Source organism: Homo sapiens, chromosome 15, assembly GCF_000001405.40.
Source record: "Homo sapiens chromosome 15, GRCh38.p14 Primary Assembly".
NCBI lineage: Eukaryota > Metazoa > Chordata > Mammalia > Primates > Hominidae > Homo > Homo sapiens.
Window position 1 is genome coordinate 67,071,178 of NC_000015.10, and position 19,557 is coordinate 67,090,734.

The following is a 19,557-nucleotide window of genomic DNA, read 5'->3' on the forward strand; positions in this document are numbered from 1 at the left end:
GAGAGGTGGAAAACTAAGAAGGGGACAAGGGTTATCCAAAGGAAGCTTTTTGGACTGCAGTATGATGTTGGGAACTTTTTGGTACATGGGGATAGTTCCCTATAAGAATGAGGACGTCTTTATCCTCTTTTACTAAACTGAGTGCTGCTATAAATATGTTACCTTGTAACTGGCACTGAACAGCTAGTGACTTGGGTGCTATATTTTACTCCACTGTAAAGCATTTTCTCTTTGAAGTAAAAAGTAAGTTAGTACTGCAAACTGAAATTCAGGTTTCCTTGGTGGGAACAGGGACTTTAGATGTATCAGCTCAGAATATGACAGGGAGTGTTAATAAAAAGTGGACAACTTGGCTGGGCACGGTGGCTCACACCTGTAATCCCAAGCACTTTGGGAGGCCGAGGCAGGCGGATCACGAGGTCAGGAGATCACAACCATTCTGGCTAACACGGTGAAACCCTGTCTCTACTAAAAATACAAAAAAATTAGCCGAGCTTGGTGGCAGGCGCCTGTAGTCCCAGCTACTCGGGAGGCTGAGGCAAGAGAATGGCGTGAACCCAGGAGGCGGAGCTTGCAGTGAGCCGAGATCGCGCCACTGCACTCCAGCCTGGGCGACAGAGCGAGACTCTGTCTCAAAATAAATAAATAAATAAATGAAAAGTGGACAACTTGCAGATGGTTGTTTTGAAATTCAAAGCTTCGGTGTGACCTAGCTTCTCATTTCTCTAGTTAACACTTGCTGAGAATAAATCCTAGACGCCTGAGTTTCTGAATGAACATAGGTGCTTTTAGTGGTATATTTTTTAAAAAGTCTTTGCAAGGGTGAAGTTTTAAATGACAATTTTAATAACAGAAAAATATGAATACAGTCGCATTTAATTCTGATGAGAAATGCAAGAAGTTGATGAAATTGAAAGAATTTGTTTCAAGCTTATCACATCAGGAATCCAACTAAATGAGTTAAAAAATAAATATTGGTTTAATAATGTAAACATGTGATTGCTGTATTATTATAATGGAATAAAATTAACACGATTTAATGAACTGAGCGACCATTAATTTTTACTTGTTAATTTATTAGGAGATTTTAATGCCATTTGATGCACAGTACAGCCATTATTCTGCGTGAGCTCCTTAATGAAATAAATAAGACCAAGCAGGGCTTGCTTCAAATTGGAATCAGCTTTCATTCCTGTTAACCTTATTCTCCCACCTTTATTCACCTCTCCTTCAGCTTCCTGTAATTGCAATTAAGTTCTCTAAGATTGGAATGCAGTTTTCTTAATCAGCAAGTCTCATCAATAGTCCTAATTGACTTTTGCCCTTTTCTCCTTTGCCATATTGACTGATTAAAACAAAAGCAAAACTTAAAGACTCCATTCCCTCCCCCAAATCCCCATCTCATAGTGTTGGTTGGCTGGCAAGAGAACTGCCCAAGAAGGCTGCTCATGATGGCAGCCTGCTGAATGTGCAGGGGGTGGAAGTTCACCAGCCATGTGCAGACGTGAATGGCTGGTGCAGTGTTGGATGGGACTAACTCCTCCCTAAGGAGGGGTATGACCTTCTGTTGGCCTCTGACAAGTCCCTGAGCCATGGAGCCTTCAGTCTTCCCATCTTCAAGCACAATGGTTCCTGGAAACAGTGGGAAGTTGCCATCCTAAGCCCACCCTACAGAAGTTTGGTTTCTAATTTTACTGTGTTCTAAGCTTTAGAACCGAGACAATTCCAAGAGAACTTGTCCAGTTCATTTTTATGCCTTCCTTTAATGCCGTACCAGGTGCTAATTTCTGTGCCAGATAATGCGGACAAAATAGTGAATAAGGCAGATACTGTCCCTGGTGCCTTCTGTAGCTTCTAGTCCACTGGCTGTGAAACACAGGTTCTTTGGAGTTGTAAGAATGCTGTATGTGTTCACTCTTTAGCTAATTTGTAAATACTGTTTTTTTGGTGCCAAACCACATCCCCCAAGCTCTGCAGTTTATTGACTTGACAAGGATCTCTCTCTCTCTTTCTCTTTCTCTCTGTATAACATAATCCTTTGTTTCGACTTAACAGTTTGAGAAATAAACAAATCTATAGCATACTATCCACTGTTGGTTATCTAAGACCCTTCCTATAAACAGCAGCCTGCCACAGTGGCAACTGCTGTAGAATGTTTTGGCAGAGACTCAGTTTAAAATGAAAACACAGTAGAAGCCTATTAATTAAGAAGTTTGGCTAATTCTGGACTAGGCAAAAGTTTGTTTAGCAGGCCTTTTTGCCCCATAAATGCTGTCAAAGAAAAATTAATAAACAAGAGTTTGGGGATTATTTTGGAGGTAGGAGTCAGCAGACCTTGGTAGGTTCTAGACGTGGCTCTGTTTCTGATTAGCTGTGTGACCTGGGACAAGTCACCTTCTTTGGGCCTCGAATGTTCTCAACTGGAAAATAGGCTAGATAAACTCTATTGGAGGGCCTTTCTAACTTGGAATTGGTATTCATACAAGCATTTTATTTTATTTTATTTTATTTTTTGAGATGGAGTTTCGCTCTTGTTGCCCAGGCTAAAGTGCAATGGCGCGGTCTTGCCTCACTGCAACCTCCGCTTCCCAGGTTCAAGTGATTGTCCTGCCTCAGCCTTCTGAGTAGCTGGGATTACAGGCATGTGCCACCACACCCGGCTAATTTTGTATTTTTATCAGAGACCAGTTTCGCCATGTTGGCCAGGCTGGTCTCCAACTCCTGGCCTCAAGTGATCTGCCCGCCTCGGCCTCCCAAAGTGCTGGGATTCCAGGCCTGAGCCACCGCGCCCGGCCACATACAAACATTTTAAAAGCTCCCAGTTGCACGCATCTAGTTGATCAGTGAATGACAGATCTTTCTTAATTATTGATGTTCCAAGACTCTATCAGCCTGGTGTCAATTAATTTACATAAGTAAAAATAATAAAATTGTAATTCAGCCTTTAATTTTGGTGATTTCCCTCCCTCTTCCTTGCCTCTTCCTTACTCTGTGAGTCTAAATCAGTGAAATTTAACTACAAAGGAATATGAAAATAATGCTAGGATGAAGATGTGGAGGCTGTGCCTCTTGAGATGCAGTGAACAGTTTTTCTTCTTTTGTTGCTATTTTTGACTATTCTAAGAACAGGAAGTTTACTTAAACTAATGACCACAGATGCCTAAAAATGGTTAAATGTAAGAGGTAGGCATTATAGAGGATACCTGTGGAAAATGTTTGCTCATATGTCAAAGTTTACCCAGGAAGCTTCCTTTATTTATTTCCAAGCATCTATATAAAGAAAGGCTGCACTTGATTGCGTAAGCATGAGCCTTTTGTTAGGCAGCGTGGATGTTGCAAGTTTAAACCCCAACTAGGAAATGAAAAGTGAGTTTCCTCCTAAATAGTTCTTTTTCAGTATCACATGGCTCTCCCAGCTTACATCTGGCAAGTTTTTCTCTTGAGTGCTTTGCCGGTAGTTTAGGACTCCAGTATTGTATTGTATTGTTTGTTTGTTTCTTTATCTCTGTCTCTCTCTTTTTTTGTTTTTTGAGACGGAGTCTTGCTGTGTCGCCCAGGCTGGAGTGCAGTGGCGTGATCTCAGCTCACTGCAACCTCCGCCTCCCAGGTTCAAGCAGTTCTCCTGCCTCAGCCTCCCATGTAGCTGGGACTACAGGCGCCCGCCACCATGCCCAGCTAATTTTTGTATTTTTAGTAGAGATGGGGTAGGACTCCAGTATTAAGAAACACTGTGTATGGCTTTGCCTTTGAAACCTACAGAGTTATGAATCTGGTCCCTTTTGCTGCTAAGTGTTGCATCACAAACTGCCAAGCCAAGTTGTAACTCTGAGGTGTCACCATTTTTTTTTTCTTTTCAACTGGACATTTGAAAATAGTAATGCTTTTTGGGTGTGTGTTTTTTAAAGGTCTGTTTTTACGCTGTCACTGCTCAAAAATGCCAAAAGGCATTTTTTCCTTAAAAAATCACCTCTGGGCTAAGCCCAAATGTGGAGTAATGAATCCAGAAAGGACTTTTTGAGTAGTTACAAGTGGCTGAAAGCAGGCACTGGTGATGGAAATTGGGTTTTTCCTTTTGCTTCAAATCTTCCTGGTTGTAAACTTTTTCTTACCCTTATTGAAGTCAGACTCAAGGTGGGTCTAATTTCTCCCAGCCCATGGGAAGGCAGAGTGAATTACTGCTTGTTGTGCCAACCCTTTACATTTTGTGTGTGGCTGTTTGTCTCTACCCAGACAGGTTCTTCACATATTACCTGGGGAGCAGGAGAGGGGGAGGACAGGAAGAGCACAGTTGGGCAGAAAGAGCAAAGCCTCTCAAGTCTGATGGGTTTGGGTTTGAGTCTGACAGTTATTAGCTATGTGGTGACCTTGGGTACTTTGCTTCAACTTATTGAGCCCCAGTTTCTGCATCTGTAAAATGAGGATGAAACTACCTACTTCATAGAAATCAACCCAAGTGGCCGGGCACGGTGGCTCATGCCTATAATCCCAGCACTTTGGGAGGCCAAGGTGGATGGATCACCTGAGGTCAAGAGTTTGAGACCAGCCTGACCAATATGGTGAAACCTCGGCTCTACTAAAAATATAAAAATTAGCCGGGCATGGTAGCGGGCGCCTGTAATTTCAGCTACTCAGGAGGCTGAGACAGGAGAATTGCTTGAACCTGGGAGCCAGAGCTTGCCGTGAGCCAAGATCGCACCATTGTACTCCAGCCTGGGCAACAGAGTGAGACTCTGTCTCAAAAAAAAAAAAAATCAACGCAAGTGAGATAAGATGTATCAAGTACTTTGCCAGTATCGATCATAATACATAGTAGATGCTTAGTAAACGCTCATTTTTCCTTTCCAAGGGGAAATTTGGCAGATGATGTCCGTCGACTCCAATAGGTGATCCCCTTCCCATCCCGACACACTTGCTCACAGAGCATTCTCCTTTGGAGAGTCTCAGTTGATATAGGAAAAGGATCTACTTCAACACACACAGAGAACATACAGACATGCCACTTGTTGATGTAAGGCTTGGCAGGCTATTGAAAGAGAAACAATTCATATTCTTAGGCGGTTCTGCCCTCCCCCATCACCTTCTCTATCATTATTCTTAAAAATTTGTTTGGTCGACTAAAAATAATAGTACTAAAAACAAACTTCGATGAATCAGGTCTCCTGGGGCGGGGGATGGGTAAGATCCTGAAGCAGAAACGCAGTGACTCACGCGCCTGTCACTGATAGCTGCCCGTAAGTGCATGGAAGTGCATGATGTTTATTGTTGCTGGTGTTTTTTTGAGGCCCAAGTTGGAATGCACTTCCGGCTCCCCCTCAAGTACTAGCTTACTGGTTAGGTGGGCTGTTGAGTGAGAATGGTCAGGTCCAGAAACTCATGGCTCTGAAATGACCCAGACGTGGTGGCTATACCCTTGACTGCCCTCAGATACGTGCAAGAGGGAGCTCACGCTTCAAGAGTCATGCTTTGGCCCTCCACCTGGCTGTGCTCCTCTTACTGGGGCAAGGAGACTGTAGGGCCAAGGGACAGGCCCATCTAGAGCAAGCACTTCCTTTTTCCAGATCATGCTCAGAGGCCTGACCCTTCCAGTTCCCTGCATCAGTGTCTTGAGCCTGTTTCCAAGTCCTGCGTGGGCCTCTTCCCCAGGTCTGTTTTACTTGAGGGCAGACTGTGTTGGCCATGGACAGCATGTGTACCTGTGGGACCAATGGCTGGGCAAGGGGTGCAGGGGCATGAAGGAATTGGCTAGAGCTTGGACTTGTGGCCTGGGGACTCTACTTGGGTGTGCACAAGGCCTCTGAAAGTTATGGGTGGTGCTAGGGGTGGGCTGAGATCTTGGGCTGGGTCTCTCTGAGCTTCCACATTCCATTGTGAAACCAAGAGGTCAGGGAATCCTAAACTCAAACCTGGACTTATTAAAGTATTGGTCAAGGCAGGATGATAGAACGCATTCTGTGTAACCGTTTGTTACCTTGATTTGTCTTTAAATACTACATATGGTGTGTAGGCCTTCCTCTGTATTTTTGCTCTTAGGGCAGGCATTTCTGTATGTATGTATGTATGTACGTATGTATGTATGTATGTATTTATTTTTGTAGCATCCGCTCAGTTGCGTGGCCACAACTGAATCCCAGTCCAGGTGGCACCATTATATGGGTAGCATTTTGGAGATGTTCACAGGAATTGATTTCCCTCACCCTCAACCCAGGCCAGAGTGAATTTAATGCAGATGAGGGAGAAGGTGCTACATATTATAGCTGCTCATTCAAAAAGTGGAGCAGAGAGCTGGACCACTGAATGTGCCTTTGTTTGCTGGAAATCTTTATTAAGTACCAGAGATATAGAGATGAAGTTGTGTCTCTGAACTGCTCAGAGGCAAAAAAGGGACACCAGTAACCACAGTTATGGTGGGCCTGTGGAAGAGACACTATAGTGAAGGTCAAACAAAATATTTGGGAGCCTAGAGGAAGAACAGGTCTATTTCTGGAGGTATCAGAAGGCTTCACAGAGGAGGCAATACTCAATTGGGGCCTTGAAGGATGGATAGGAGTGTAGGAGTGGAGTGGGAGGCAGCACAGAGCACAGACCAGACTGCGGAAGGGCCTGACATCTAGGGAAGGCAAGACAGTTTAGGGTGGCCAGAGTGTGGATGAGGGAGTGGCCAGAGAGGAGTTGGAGAAGGATGTTGTCAAGGGCTTTGGCTTGCCAAACTTCGTACTTTGTGTTTGGACCTTGCTCTGTAAGTGTCCAGGAGATTTTAAAGCAGGGGAGTGGCACGGTGAAAGCCACCACTCTATCGTTTCTTGTTTCATTTCCTCCTCTTACCCAGTGGCTGTTAACAGCAGGTTTTCTGCCCGAGTTATCCAGGTCAGAGTCATAATCCCTTACAGTACCATGTGGACAGCTTTAGGCTATGTCTGGAGCAGGTTGAAGATAGTGTTTTGTTCACTGTCAGGAGAGAAGACATGTTGTTCAGCCAGGAGGGCTCAGGGACCCCAGGCGTTCAGGTAATTAGCCAGTGAGTCATGTCAGGCTTTTGATATGGATACCTTGGGAAACTAAGTGGGGTGTTGCTGGCCTCCATGCAGATGCCTGGTCTACCCAAGCACAGGCCCCCAAATTAGATCTCGGCCTCTGCTGGGTCTTCCCTGTGCCTGACACAGTGCCTTCATATGGACCGTCTCTGGTCAGTGTTTTCAATTTCTTTGTTGATGATCATCAATCAAGGCCAGGCTTTCCAATTCCAGACCACACTGCAATCAGTGGAAACTACCTAAATTCAGTACTGCAGACCCATAGCAGGATGTATGTTTATTGAAAACAGATTATATTCCTTAATGAGAGACTAAAACAGCATGTTTAAATCAGTATTCTTCATTCCTTTTATCATTGAGAGATTGGTTATTATTTACCTCGCCTTTAGAGGGTCAGCTTGGTGGTGGTGGTGGTGGTTTAAGTTGCTGGGTTTTTAAAAGATTGAGTTTCATGTCCAAGGACTGATTCTACTTCATGGGCTGTTTTTGAAAACATTGCTAGAAACCTCTTAACTGAAGGCAAGACCAGGGGCAGCCTATTGCTGCGGAGTGCCCTGGGTTCAAATCCCTGCTCCCCAACTTACTGCGGTGGTGACTGTGGACATGTTGTTTAACTTATTTGAGCTTCCTTTTCCTCATCAGTAAAATGGGAAAAACAATGACCTCCCTCAAGGAGGGATGTTATTGAAGTTATTTACTTAAATCAGATTAGATTTATTTTAGATTAAAAGCTTCTTGCAAGCTGTGAAATGTTTTGCAATGTCACATATTATTATTTTTTTTTTTTGAGACGGAGTTTCGCTCTTGTTGCCCAGGCTGGAGTGCAAAGGCGTGATCTTGGCTCACGGCAACCTCTGCTTCCCGGATTCAGGCTATTCTCCTGCCTCAGCCTCCCGAGTAGCTGGGATTACAGGCATGCACCACCATGCCTGGCTAATTTTGTATTTTTAGTAAAGACGGGGTTTTTCTATGTTGGTCAGGCTGGTCTCGAACTCCCGACCTCAGGTGATCTGCCCGCGTCAGCCTCCCAAATTGCTGGGATTGCAGGTGTAAGCCACCGCACCTCGCCCCCCGCATATTATTTCTTTATGGTGTAGAACTCACTAATACTGCTAAAAACCCTTTCTGACAGAGATGGGAGTTAAGGCTTCTAAGTTCACACCCAGATTTCCACAGAGACCTTAGAGACAATCATAAATATTGCACAAAATTATATTGGAATATGAGCTCGGGGCACATAGGCTCTGGTGCCTTGTACTAGAAGCTTAGGTGAGCTGTTACTCTTGGCCATGTCCAAGCATTTGACTCAGAAGATGGTCGAGTCAGCAGTGTTGACTGTTAGCAAATCACCTAAGCCCACTCACATGGGGTGATCCTGGTACGTGTTGCATGGACTGAGTGTCAACTGCATGCTGAGTGTATGCCAGAGGGGGTGATCTCCTTGATCTTATTTACTTACCTACAGTACTCTGGGTACTTATGTATTTATGTTTACAGAGGAGGAGGCTGAAGCATTGAGGGGTCAGTGGCAGAACAGGAATCTTAACTCTGGTCTCTGGTTCCTAGTTCTCTGAGCTCTACCCCATAGCCCCTCAAGAAAGGATGGCCATTGTTGTCCTCATACAAAAAGCTATGACACTGCTATCATTATTCTCATTTGGTAAATGACAGAAACAAGGTTCAGATTACTTAGGTAAGTTGCTTTAAGTCTCAGGCTAAGGGCTGGAGCTGGATTTGCCACTGAAGCTCTACACCTTCTAGAATCTAGGGTGACTACATAATTTATCAAACAAACCAGGATGTTTCCAAGAGTGAAAAGGGGCAGCATTATTAATTATGGCCACTATTAATTACGGTCCTTGGCCATAAATCAGGACCGTCCAGGCAAACCTGGGTAATAGTCACCCTGCCTCTGGTCTTGATACCTGACCAAGGTAATGGAGAATTGGATCCGCCAGCTCATGTGCTGTTGCTTAAGTGGAAGGGAATGTGCAAATTATGTCCTGCTATTCTAAGTGAAAGGACTTGCCCAAGGTCATGCAACAAGTTGGCAATGTAATATTTTAAAACTGGACGAGATGTTGAAAACATGGTAAAGTTAGCACTAGAGCTTAATTAACTGGAGTATGAGTTAGGGAACATTTGGCTATGCTGATGTCTACTACTGAAGGGAAAGGAGGTGGAGGTCAAGGTCAGGTGTGTATGGAGCAGGTGGGGGTGGCAGTGGCAGGGCATTCACGTGGCTCTACTATGTCGGCACCATCATCAGGCCCTGTCCCTTTGAAGTCCGGGAGATGCCACTAGGCCCAGTGCAACTTGGATGATATTTAATGGCCAAGAGCAGAGACTTCTGGGACCTGACTTTTCCTGCTCTCCACTTTACTTTAGCTCTGGGCTTCAAAGGGACTATTGGCTGGGAGTGGTGAAAGTTTAGTGGATAATCCTGCTGAAGAATTTTGGAAGGCCTTGAGGAAGGAATTAAAAATAACAGTAAGCATGCCTTTTCTTTCTCTTTGATTGTGGTCAGTGCATGGAATGTGCCAGGGCCGCTGCGGAGCAAGCACGTGGCCCCGAATAACCCCTCCCTGCCAACGGAATTCTGCAGAGAACATGTAAGGGCTGTGCTGTTTCACTCCTGCTTTGGGCTCTCAGGGTTTGTTTCCGCGATCATCCAAACCTCATCCTCCTTCTCTTGCCCCAGATAATTTATTGGAAGTCTGGAGAGGGACTTGAGTTCTCTCAACTCTCCAACCAGACTGTTGCTGTGGGCGAGGCCATGTCGGGTGAGCTCCAAGGAGAGCAGTTGGAATGACAGAGAGGAACGGTTTCAGCCTGAGAAATGTGAAATATAAATTCAAACCAAACTTGGCACCTGTTTGGAGAGCTTCAGCTGATACTACAGTGCCCCTGTCGTTAGCCTTTGTGGCTCAGCTGGGTCTTATAAATAGAACACGATGCATTTCCCCTTTTGCTACCCCACAGACACGCGGAGGCATGTGTGGGGGTGGCATGGACAGAGAGTATTCATTACTTATGCTCCAGTGCATCAGATAGTCATCGTGGGAACTGAGCCCTGGTGTCATGGGGATGACTAGGCCATCTTGTGGGTAAGGCTGGAAGCGGCTTTTGAGTCTCCTGAGTTACAGCTCTTCTTACCCTTGCCAGCCTCCCTTCCCCAGCTGAGGCCCTCAGTCCTTCATGCCTGTGTGCCGCAGTAAGCCAGTTGGCCCCTTCCGTCGTGAGTCCATCCCACATTCTGTATCGGAGCCCAGCATTGCTGTATCAGGATGCTTTTGGCCAAAAGTGACTTGAAACCCAACAAATAGCTTCAATCATAAGAGGGCTTATTACTTCCACTAAGAAGGCTAGAAGCAGGAAAGTCAGGCATCAGAAGGTCTCAGGAGCCTTACATCTTTCCTCCTGGCCATATTCTCTTCAAGCTTGTCTCCTGTTGGTCCAAGGGTGGCCACAACTGTTGCAGATATTACCGTCTATAAACGTTGCATCCAAGGGCAGAAAAGGGCTCCTATTCCTTGGGGGTCTCTTTAGGAAGAAAACCTTCCCCGGGAGCCTCCTGGTATCTTGTTGGTCAGTATTGTATCACATGCAGTCAATGACAGAAATAATGGACCCTCAGAAGCCTCTCGAGGTCAAGGGCCCAGGCTATTCCTTTGACTCATCAGGGTGATTAGTATGGAGGTAGGTGCTTAGTAAATTTTATTTGGGTTAGTGCAAAAGTAATGGCAGTTTTTGCCATTGAAAATAATGGCAAAAACTGCCATTACTTAGGCACCAACTTACTGATTAATGTTTGTTGGTTGCTGGTTTCCTTCGCTAAGTGAGACTCCTGAACACTTACTGATGATGTCTTGCTGACTTCTGAGGACATGATGGTAAGTCTGCCCTCATGGAGCTTGCAGTCAGGTGGAGAGATAGTGCTATAATTGTGTTTGGAGTATCTCCTGAGTAGATTGTGGCAGTCTGGTAGCTTTGGAAGAGGTGTTAAATTGAGGCCCAAGGAGACAAAAGGACCTGAGAAACAGAGCAGGGGGACTGTCTGGGCCTCTGAATGCCATGCCCAGGGCCACACATTTTGTGATGCAAGCCAGGTTGTTTCAGGTTTCAAGCAGTTGCGATTTCTGTCTCCACCCCTCCACCAGTCTTATTTTCCTGTTGACAAAATGATAACAACTTGCCCTAGGGTTTGAAGTGGGGGCAGGGCACAGCGCTGAGAGCCTCCTCCCTCAGGGGAAATTTTCTAAAGTTTCTCACTGTGTTCTAGCTTCAAAACCATATGCAGTTTAATTGCATGTTTAGTATCTTTGTGCATCTCTCTTGTTTTGAATCTGCTGGAAACTTTCTCTGAAAGCATATATATAGGAAGACATAAAAATTCTATAAATGTTTAGTGGTTAAAAACAAAGTCCTGTCCAAATTATATAAAGTTTTGCCGTCGTCGGACGGAACTTTCTGCAGATAGGGAATACCCTTGAGTCTTCAGTCGCAAAGAGCTAATCACTAACTTCAAGTGTGCAAGTGCCCTTTCATTCCAATTCAGAGAAAACAGAGCCTGTCCCAAGGCCTCGTGTTTTGTTTTCCTATTGATCTAGGAGCTGGGATAACTTGGAACCCCAGGGAACATCTCAGAGTTAATTAGTTTTTTGAGGTCTTCTTGTTTTTCTTGCTTGATTAAAAGAGTTACAGTTTTTGCTCTGATTGTTTAAAAAAAGAATCTATCACTGCTACTGATCCAAGAGGTGAGGGTTGGCATGGGGTGGGCACTCCAGTAAATACGTAAGTTGTCTTCCTGCCGTCTTGTCCTGGTGGAGCAGAGAGAGGTGCCTTTGAGCATGGGCCTGGAACCAACAGCTACTTTCCTGGAAAATTCTTCAGTTTCCAGAAGCAGTGGCCAGGTGAGCCGGGGCATGAAACCAGACGAAGTTGCCGCAGTGCGAGGCTGGTTCTGTTTGCCTCAGTTCTGAAGTTAATGGTCCAAGTTCACCACTCATAGAGCGTCAGCCTGTTGGGGAGACGGAGGCCCTGACGGCCATGCCAGGGTGCCCCCAACCCTTTGTTTAACCACGGCTGTGGACCAGTGGTCTCAGATGTTTACCATCGCCTGTTTATAAGAGGGAAGTGTGGTCATATTTCTATCTCTCTTGTGGGCTGCACGGTTGCCTTACTGGGGTTCATGTGGGAAGTGGTTACCGTTAGGAGGAGGATGAAATAACAGTACTCACAAAAAGGCTTTGATCCAGGGATCTTTTTAAATGTCATCTTTTGGCCACTGTGTTTTTTTATTTTTATTTTTTGCTATCTGCTTTAACTTCAACGATGAGAAAATCAAACCATATGCTGGACATCATTCTGCCCAGCTGGGCTGAGTCAGAATTGCAGTTCAAACTACTTCTGCTCTCCCTGGGTTTCGTGTGCTTTCAATGTGGGGATATCTTCCAGATCTGCAGTTCTCCAGAGCTAGGGACCCCTCAGCTCCAGCTGCTCTCTGGACAATACCTGAACATCCCTACAATATCTGAAATTGAATGTTTGCCATTTCTTCTTCTTTCTCCTCACACAACCTACTCTGATGTTCATGATTACTGGAGCCCCCAGGTTCTAAAAAGTGTTGAATTAGCAAGTGAACAAATAAAATGAGACCCAAAGAAACTGTGATCTTAGCATCCTGTTTTCTGGGTGAGGTTGAGGGTCCTTGGCCTCTCTTGCTGGTGGAGATGGGCTTTATGACTTTGGGGAAGTCAACTTGACTTCCTGGGTGTTGGTCTTCTCTTCTACAAAATGACAAGCTTGAAGGGAGAATCTGAAAGAATCTGTGTATCCGTTCTCAGATTTTCTTTTTTTTTCTTTTTTTTTTTTTTTTTTTTTTTGAGATGGAGTCTCGCTCTGTCGCCCAGGCTGGAGTGCAGTGATGCGATCTCGGCTCACTGCAAGCTCTGCCTCCGGGGTTCATGCTATTCTCCTGCCTCAGCCTCCCGAGTAGCTGGCACTACAGGCGTCTGCCACCACACCTGGCTAATTTTTTTTTTTTGTATTTTTAGTAGAGACGGGGTTTCTTTGTGTTAGCCAGGATGGTCTCCATCTCCTGACCTCGTGATCTGCCTGCCTCGGCCTCCCAAAGTGCTGGGATTACAGGCATGAGCCACCGTGCCTGGCCAGTCTCAGATTTTCATGATAGCCCTCTGAACTCTCCTTGGCTTCTTGCCTTTGGCTGTTTTCTCAATGCATATATTTTCCTGGGGGACAAATCTAAGTTTTCATCTGATGCTCTGCCTTCAGAGGGGAACCATTCCTTAATGACCTATTTAATTGTATTATCATTGTTGTTTAATTCATCACATATTTACTGAGCTTCTTTTGTTGGTGGTGGTGCCATCAGACACAGTGGTCCAGGAGCTGCAATGCGTTGCTGATGAGGATGGTCACACATAGCTCTGCCCTCATGGAGCGTCCCAGGGTGAAATGAGACCTCCCCTGAGAACCGACTCCCAGGGTAGGGGAAATCAGTCTGCAGGCAAAGAGGAATTCAAATTTAGCCTGAAGCACAGGTTTTCTGTGCTTCTAGGCACCGGCTGCATTCCAACCGTAGTGCCATAAAAATACAGGAAGGAAGGGAAACGTGTTCACAGGTTGGTTAGAGATGTGGAAACCAACAATCAGCTCTCTCTTATCCGTAAGAAACTAGAATCTACTGCTGGCTTCAGTCCCTCAGACCTGCTGCTCAACAGAGTGCCCTTTCAAACCTGGGTTAGACTCTGTGCTAATGGCTTTTTTCATGAACCTCAGACAGCCGGAAAGTATATTCTTTGAGGATTATGATCGACTAGGATGCTCGGGAATCTTTAAAGAGAAGCACTATCTTGGCTATATTTGCCCTCAGTTGTTTTAAGGCCAGTGAGGAGACTGAGCATTTCAGAGGTGAAGCATTTAGAGGATGGCCTCTGAAAGCATACGGCTCAGTAAACAACTGACCCATCCTTTGTCACCGTTTTTGTCCAGCGGCTGTCACCATAGGGGCTCCTCTGGTGTGGAGGAGAGAGAATTAGAGGCAGCAGGCCTGGGTTCTAGGTCTGCCTCATTGTGAACCAGCTTCAGGACCTTGGGTGAGTCACTTTTCTGCCCTGGCCCCTGGCTTCCTCTTCTATAAACTGAAGGTGTTGGCTTAGCAGGATTTTAAAGTTTCTTCCACCTTAAAAACTCTGATTCCTGCACTTGCATTCAAAGAAATGACTCTATTACTCATTTGAATAGTTTCAGAATCACTGTATAGTCAACTCTGGACTAGAAATGGGGGCCTGCAGTTGAGGACAGGATGGAAAGAGGTTTGGGGTTCAGGGTGGGCTGTGAGGGCTAGGATTCTTGATTCCTCATGATTTGCAATTGGTTGTTGGTGTTACCATGGAAGGTTCTCAACCATGGCTGCTTTTAAAAATTTTGATGCTCAGACCACCCCTGGAGACCAGTGAATTTCAAATTTCTACAGGCCGGCCTGGGGAAATCCATGTTTTTTAACTTTCCTAGGTGATTCCGGTATGTGGCCGGGATTGAGAATCACAGCCATAGATGCTTATGTAAAGCTGTGTTCAGTGTTACAGGCATCTGTTCTGGGTGGAAAGTGATAGTGGTTGGTCAAAAAAAAAGCGTGCACACACACACACACACACACACACACACACATACACAGAGAACAGCTCTAGGTTCTGGAAGTGTGTTGATTTGGTCACCACAAGTGCTGGTGGTGAGTAGTTGCCCTGAGGTTTGGAGTTCCAGTTCCCTCCTATCTCTGGGTCAGTGGTTTCTCAACATCTTTGAAGTAGTGAAACCATCTGTAGTTGGTTATTTCTGCTCAGAAACTCACAGTACAAAGTGGGGGGTGGTGCAGGGGGGTGGAGCTGGAATGGATTAAACAGGCCCTTACAAATGCCCACACTTTTTTCATGAAACTAAGTTAGAGGCCTTAGCCAACTCCAGCATACCTTAGTGTCAGTTCTTTGGCATTGCCCCGGTGGATTCTAGGGGCTGTGAAGGCTGTAGGGGTGTGTGTTACTCCCTGCTGCTTTGGTGAGAGAGTGTCCCTGTCTTTGGCTGAGAGCATCCTGTCCTGCCACTTCATCAGCAGTAGCATCTAAACAGCCCTTGAAGGGAATCAGTATCTACAGCCTAAGAAATCTGATGGGACACATCTCTCTGCATTAAAATATTAACAGAAAAGGTCAAACTGGGAAGGGGCAGCTAAGTTGGAATATCTCATTCAGGTAAAGGGATGGGCTTGTGGATCCTTAATTGGTGTGAAATGCGCCCTAGGAGGGGAGACTATATCAGTGCTGAAAGCCCTTGAGGGCTTTCACAGATGAAGGGGGATGGTATGAGAAGCTTTACAAATAACAAGGTTTGAGATGCAGTTGTAGACACATGCCAGATGTAGGTTGCTATTTTCTCAGCTCAATGAGGAATCTGTCAAGGCACTCTTAGAAATGGAAAATATAGTTCCTGCCCTCAGGAACTATAGTGTCACGTGATAGCAGTGAAGACCTTCTATGTCCTGGCCACACAGTGAGGATCAGAAGACAGAGCATGGAGAGTGGAATGGGACACATGGATCAAGGAACGTGGACCTGAGCAAGCAAAAGCAAGTCACTCGGGTCCCACTATCACATTGCATATCTTCTCCTTTTTTTTTTTTTTTTCTGAGACGGAGTTTCGCTCTTGTTGCCCAGGCTGGAGTGCAGTGGTGCGATCTCAGCTCACTACAACCTCCACCTCCCAGGTTCAAGCGATTCTCGTGCCTCAGACTCCCAAGTAGCTGGTATTACAGGCGCCTGCCACCACACCTGGCTAATTTTTAGTAGAGATGGGGTTTCACTATGTTGGCCAGATTGGTCTTGAACTCCTGACTTCAGGTGATCTGCCCACCTCAGCCTCCCAGAGTGCTGGGGTTACAGGCATGAGCCACAGCACCAGCCTCTTCTCCTTTCTAACGTGATGTCAGTGTCTCTGGGAAGCAGCCTTAGTTGGCACCTCACTGGCAGCAAGAATGACTTCATGTTCTTGCTCCCATGAAAATTCTCTGCTTTCAGGAATACACTTTCCTCTAGGTTTTTTCTTTGTCTGCAAGTGGGGGGGTGTTCTTTGCCAGATCCCTGCTTTGATGATTACCATCTGCCCACCTGAGTTTCCTGCATAGTTTCAGTTGGAAACTCTTTTCTCTTTGGACCCTAAGATACCGTGTAATAGGATTGTTCTTGGTTTCAGTAGGCACCTGGCACCCTCTCAGCTGTGGCTGCATTTCAGGTATGGATGGGAGTGATTATCTGTGCATCAGAAAACTCAAGATTGTCATGTGAGCAAGTTGTGTGATCATCAGTAAATGCAGAGCTGGCTTTGTTAGGCCCTGGTTGTGGCCAAGGCTTTCCTTTCCCGGCGGGTGATTATTCCAGATTTCATGGTCACTAGCTGAGTGTAATCAGGAGCAGATAAGAAAGCCCTGTATAGAGCAAAGTATGCATTTCTTAAGGTGGTGGGGGAGGTGGCAGAGGCATTATATAGACGTGTGTGTTTGTGCATGTGTTTAAAAAAAGACTTATATTTTCTGGGCAGCAGAACTTAAGTTTCCAGTAAACATCTCCTCCCTTTTTACTTTACCTTTTAATTTTGTGTTTATGGTCTCTGTGCTTTGAAATTGTTTTTGCTGTGATGCCAGCCCTGCCTGAAATGGGTGGAGCAAGCCAAGCCCTTTGGAAGCCATGGTTTAGATCAGAGTTCTTGTACTGACATGGCCCAGCTGATTGACAGCTCAGATGTGATCACTCCGTCTCAACTAGAAGAATAAAAATAAAAACCTTGAGCTGGAGCGGAGAGGGGTCACACATTTGTTAGTTTATCCCCTACTCTCACCTTTATCGCAGGAGGAGTGATAAAGTGCTGCTGTGTGTAATTCTGGTCTGGGGTTGGTTTTCTGTAGTCCCAAACCTGGGACTAATTCTCCCTGGAGCCCGTGGCCCAGAAGATGGGTGCACAGTAGGGTTACTTGATGCTAAACGGCTTTCCCGATAGACTTGGGATCTCACTGTTCTTGTCTTAGCTTTACTTGTTGGGTTGGAGGAGGTGAGGTGGGTGGGCAGGGGCCTAGGGAAGCCCACTATAGAAACACTGGGACAGAGAATCCAGCCCAGGCTAGGTGAGAGCATCTGCCAGTGTGAAAACACGTGGAAGCGGGGGAGGCAGGCGAGAAAAGCTGTGGGAGAAAACCTCACAAATGCAGCAAAGCTGCCCAGGGCCCAAGCGGTGGGGCGGTAGCGAGGGAAACACAGTGGTGTTTGGCTGCTGCTTCACACCACTTTTAATTCAGCGCTGCTAGGAAGGCTATTTCAGAATGCTCCCGAGTGGGAGGGGGCAGCTGCTCTAGGGTGGGAAGGGGATGCTAAGGCCGGGTGCGGTGGCTCACGCCTGTAATCCCAGCACTTTGGGAGCCGAGGTGGGCGAATCACGAGGTCAGGAGTTCGAGACCAGCCCGACCAATATGGTGAAACCCTGCCTCTACTAAAAATACAAAAATGAGCCAGGTGTGGTGGCGGGTGCCTGTAGTCCCAGCTACTCAGGAGGCTGAGGCAGGAGAATCACTTGAACCCAGGAGGCAGAGGTTGCAGTGAGCTGAGATCACGCCACTGCACTTGAGCCTGGGCAACAGAGCCAGACTCTGTCTTAAAAAAAAGGGGGTGCTGGAGAGCATGTGGGGTGGATAGGGCTGACTAGAGACCTTTGTCAGGGTGACCTTTCTCCAGAGAGCCCAGTAGGCTCAGAAGGAAGGTCCCTCAGCACCCTGGCCCACACAGTTCCAGGGAGACCCCAAATAAAGCATTTGCACAAACAGTCCTGAGTGGAGCACACCTAGCCGCCTTCTCTTGCAAAGTGGGCCTTTAAAAAAGGGGTGTATGGCTGCTTAGTTCTGAAGAGGCCAGGCTAGGAGACCCCAGAGGGACACCCAGAAATCCCAGATATACCTCCTCCATCTGCTCTGCCTGCCAGATGACCCTTGCTACTTTACTGTTTTTTCTTTGAGCCTCTTGGTGATCTTGAATAGCAGAAAAATGAGCCAAATTTCCTTCAATCTATGCCAGTCTTCGTCCTCAGCCTCCCGGTGGGGTGATGAGTCACACCAGTGGGAAAGTGCACTGTATACTTGGTCATGTGCAGAGCACCTTCCCATTGGTTTATCTTTACAACTGCCCTGGGTGGAGACATGGCAAGGTGGTCCTATCCCTATTTTGCAGGTGATCAGGCACAACTTACAGTTAGCGCAGGAACAGGGACTGAGGCCAGCCCTCAGTTCTTTGACAGAGTTCTTTGTCTACACTGTGTTGCCTCAGAAAAAAATGCCCATGGGGAGTGTGTGTGCGTGGGCATGTGTGCTCTCCTCGTGTCCCTCAGAAAAGAATGAATTCTTTTCCAACTGATGTCACTGGGAAAGGGGGACACCACTACTTTCCTGCGTACTGCACTTTACAGTTTACAAAGCACTTTCCCACACGTCATTTCGTTTCATCTCCCTGACAGTCCCTGGAAGTGGGTGCTAGTCTGGATGAGCAGGCGCAGACTTGGAGAGGCTGAGGGACTTGGCCCAGGGCATATAGCTAGGAAGCGGCCAGGCAGTAAGTGGGTAGCACCACTGCATGTTGGGGGTGGGGAAGCATGAGCTGGATGGAGCATTCGGTGGTCTAACCAGTGGCCAGCAGTAGTGTTGGGGTTTGCTGCCCTCACCTCTGAAGCCACACAGGCTCCTGCTTCCTGAGGTCACCCTCTCCTGGAGGGCTGCCCCCGCATGGGAGTGTGGACAAGTGTGCACGAGGGGGAGGCACACCCAGGCCGAGTGGAACACCACCCTAAGGGGGTGGTGACAGGTGGCACTGGGAGTGGCTGGAGTCGGGGTTCACCTTACTCAGGGTCAGGGCTTCCCATTTTGCAGGACTGAGAGGTGGACTCTGAAGGAATGCAGTGCTTAGAATCTTGGTGCCTCTCCTGGGGTGGTGGGAAGAGCAGGGAGTCTCGAGTCCGATTTTGCCAAAAATCCCAACTTTCCTGCTGAGTAGCTCATGAGACAGGCATTTCACCTCTCTGAACTTCAACTTGGGGGTACTCAGATTTCCTTCAGAGGCTGTGAAAGAGTCCCCTGCCACAAGTTACTCCTCTGTTCAGAAGTGACTTGACTGATCATCTAGCCCAACCCCATCATTGACAGCTGGGGGAAACTGAGCTCCTGAGCGGGGCAGTGACTTGCGCAAGTCATTTGTTGGGAAGAATGGGGCAGGATGATGATGATGTCCACTTCTTGGGGACGATGGGGCAGGGTGGTAAACACTTCTCAATGCTTGCTTATGGGCTCTGATGTGAACCACTCACTATAGGCTGAATCCTGGTTTTCCAAGTGTTTAGAGGCTGAGCTGTTGTCCCCTGGGATTTTGGAAGGTAGACTCACATTTCACTGAAAGCCCTAGATGCTTCTCCTTACTGCAGT

General features: G+C 46.5%; 1 protein-coding gene across 4 annotated transcripts in view, besides 5 other annotated features; it reads left to right on the forward strand.

Annotated features, from left to right (window-relative positions):
• SMAD3 (SMAD family member 3) overlaps positions 1 to 19,557 on the forward strand; it is a 129,568-nt gene that overhangs the window by 5,576 nt on the left and 104,435 nt on the right. The window lies entirely within an intron of this gene.
• Positions 11,026 to 11,165: an enhancer, noted in NCBI's record as "active region_9618". NCBI's record gives its function as "activates an Ori minimal core promoter by ATAC-STARR-seq in GM12878 lymphoblastoid cells {active_cell/tissue: GM12878}" and the evidence as "EXISTENCE:reporter gene assay evidence [ECO:0000049][PMID:35858748]".
• Positions 11,923 to 12,042: an enhancer, noted in NCBI's record as "active region_9619". NCBI's record gives its function as "activates an Ori minimal core promoter by ATAC-STARR-seq in GM12878 lymphoblastoid cells {active_cell/tissue: GM12878}" and the evidence as "EXISTENCE:reporter gene assay evidence [ECO:0000049][PMID:35858748]".
• Positions 12,513 to 12,592: an enhancer, noted in NCBI's record as "active region_9620". NCBI's record gives its function as "activates an Ori minimal core promoter by ATAC-STARR-seq in GM12878 lymphoblastoid cells {active_cell/tissue: GM12878}" and the evidence as "EXISTENCE:reporter gene assay evidence [ECO:0000049][PMID:35858748]".
• Positions 18,311 to 18,828: an enhancer, noted in NCBI's record as "H3K27ac-H3K4me1 hESC enhancer chr15:67381826-67382343 (GRCh37/hg19 assembly coordinates)". NCBI's record gives its function as "activates a minimal SCP1, AML or CMV promoter by ChIP-STARR-seq in primed H9 embryonic stem cells {active_cell/tissue: H9 hESC(primed)}" and the evidence as "EXISTENCE:reporter gene assay evidence [ECO:0000049][PMID:30033119]".
• Positions 18,829 to 19,345: an enhancer, noted in NCBI's record as "H3K27ac-H3K4me1 hESC enhancer chr15:67382344-67382860 (GRCh37/hg19 assembly coordinates)". NCBI's record gives its function as "activates a minimal SCP1, AML or CMV promoter by ChIP-STARR-seq in primed H9 embryonic stem cells {active_cell/tissue: H9 hESC(primed)}" and the evidence as "EXISTENCE:reporter gene assay evidence [ECO:0000049][PMID:30033119]".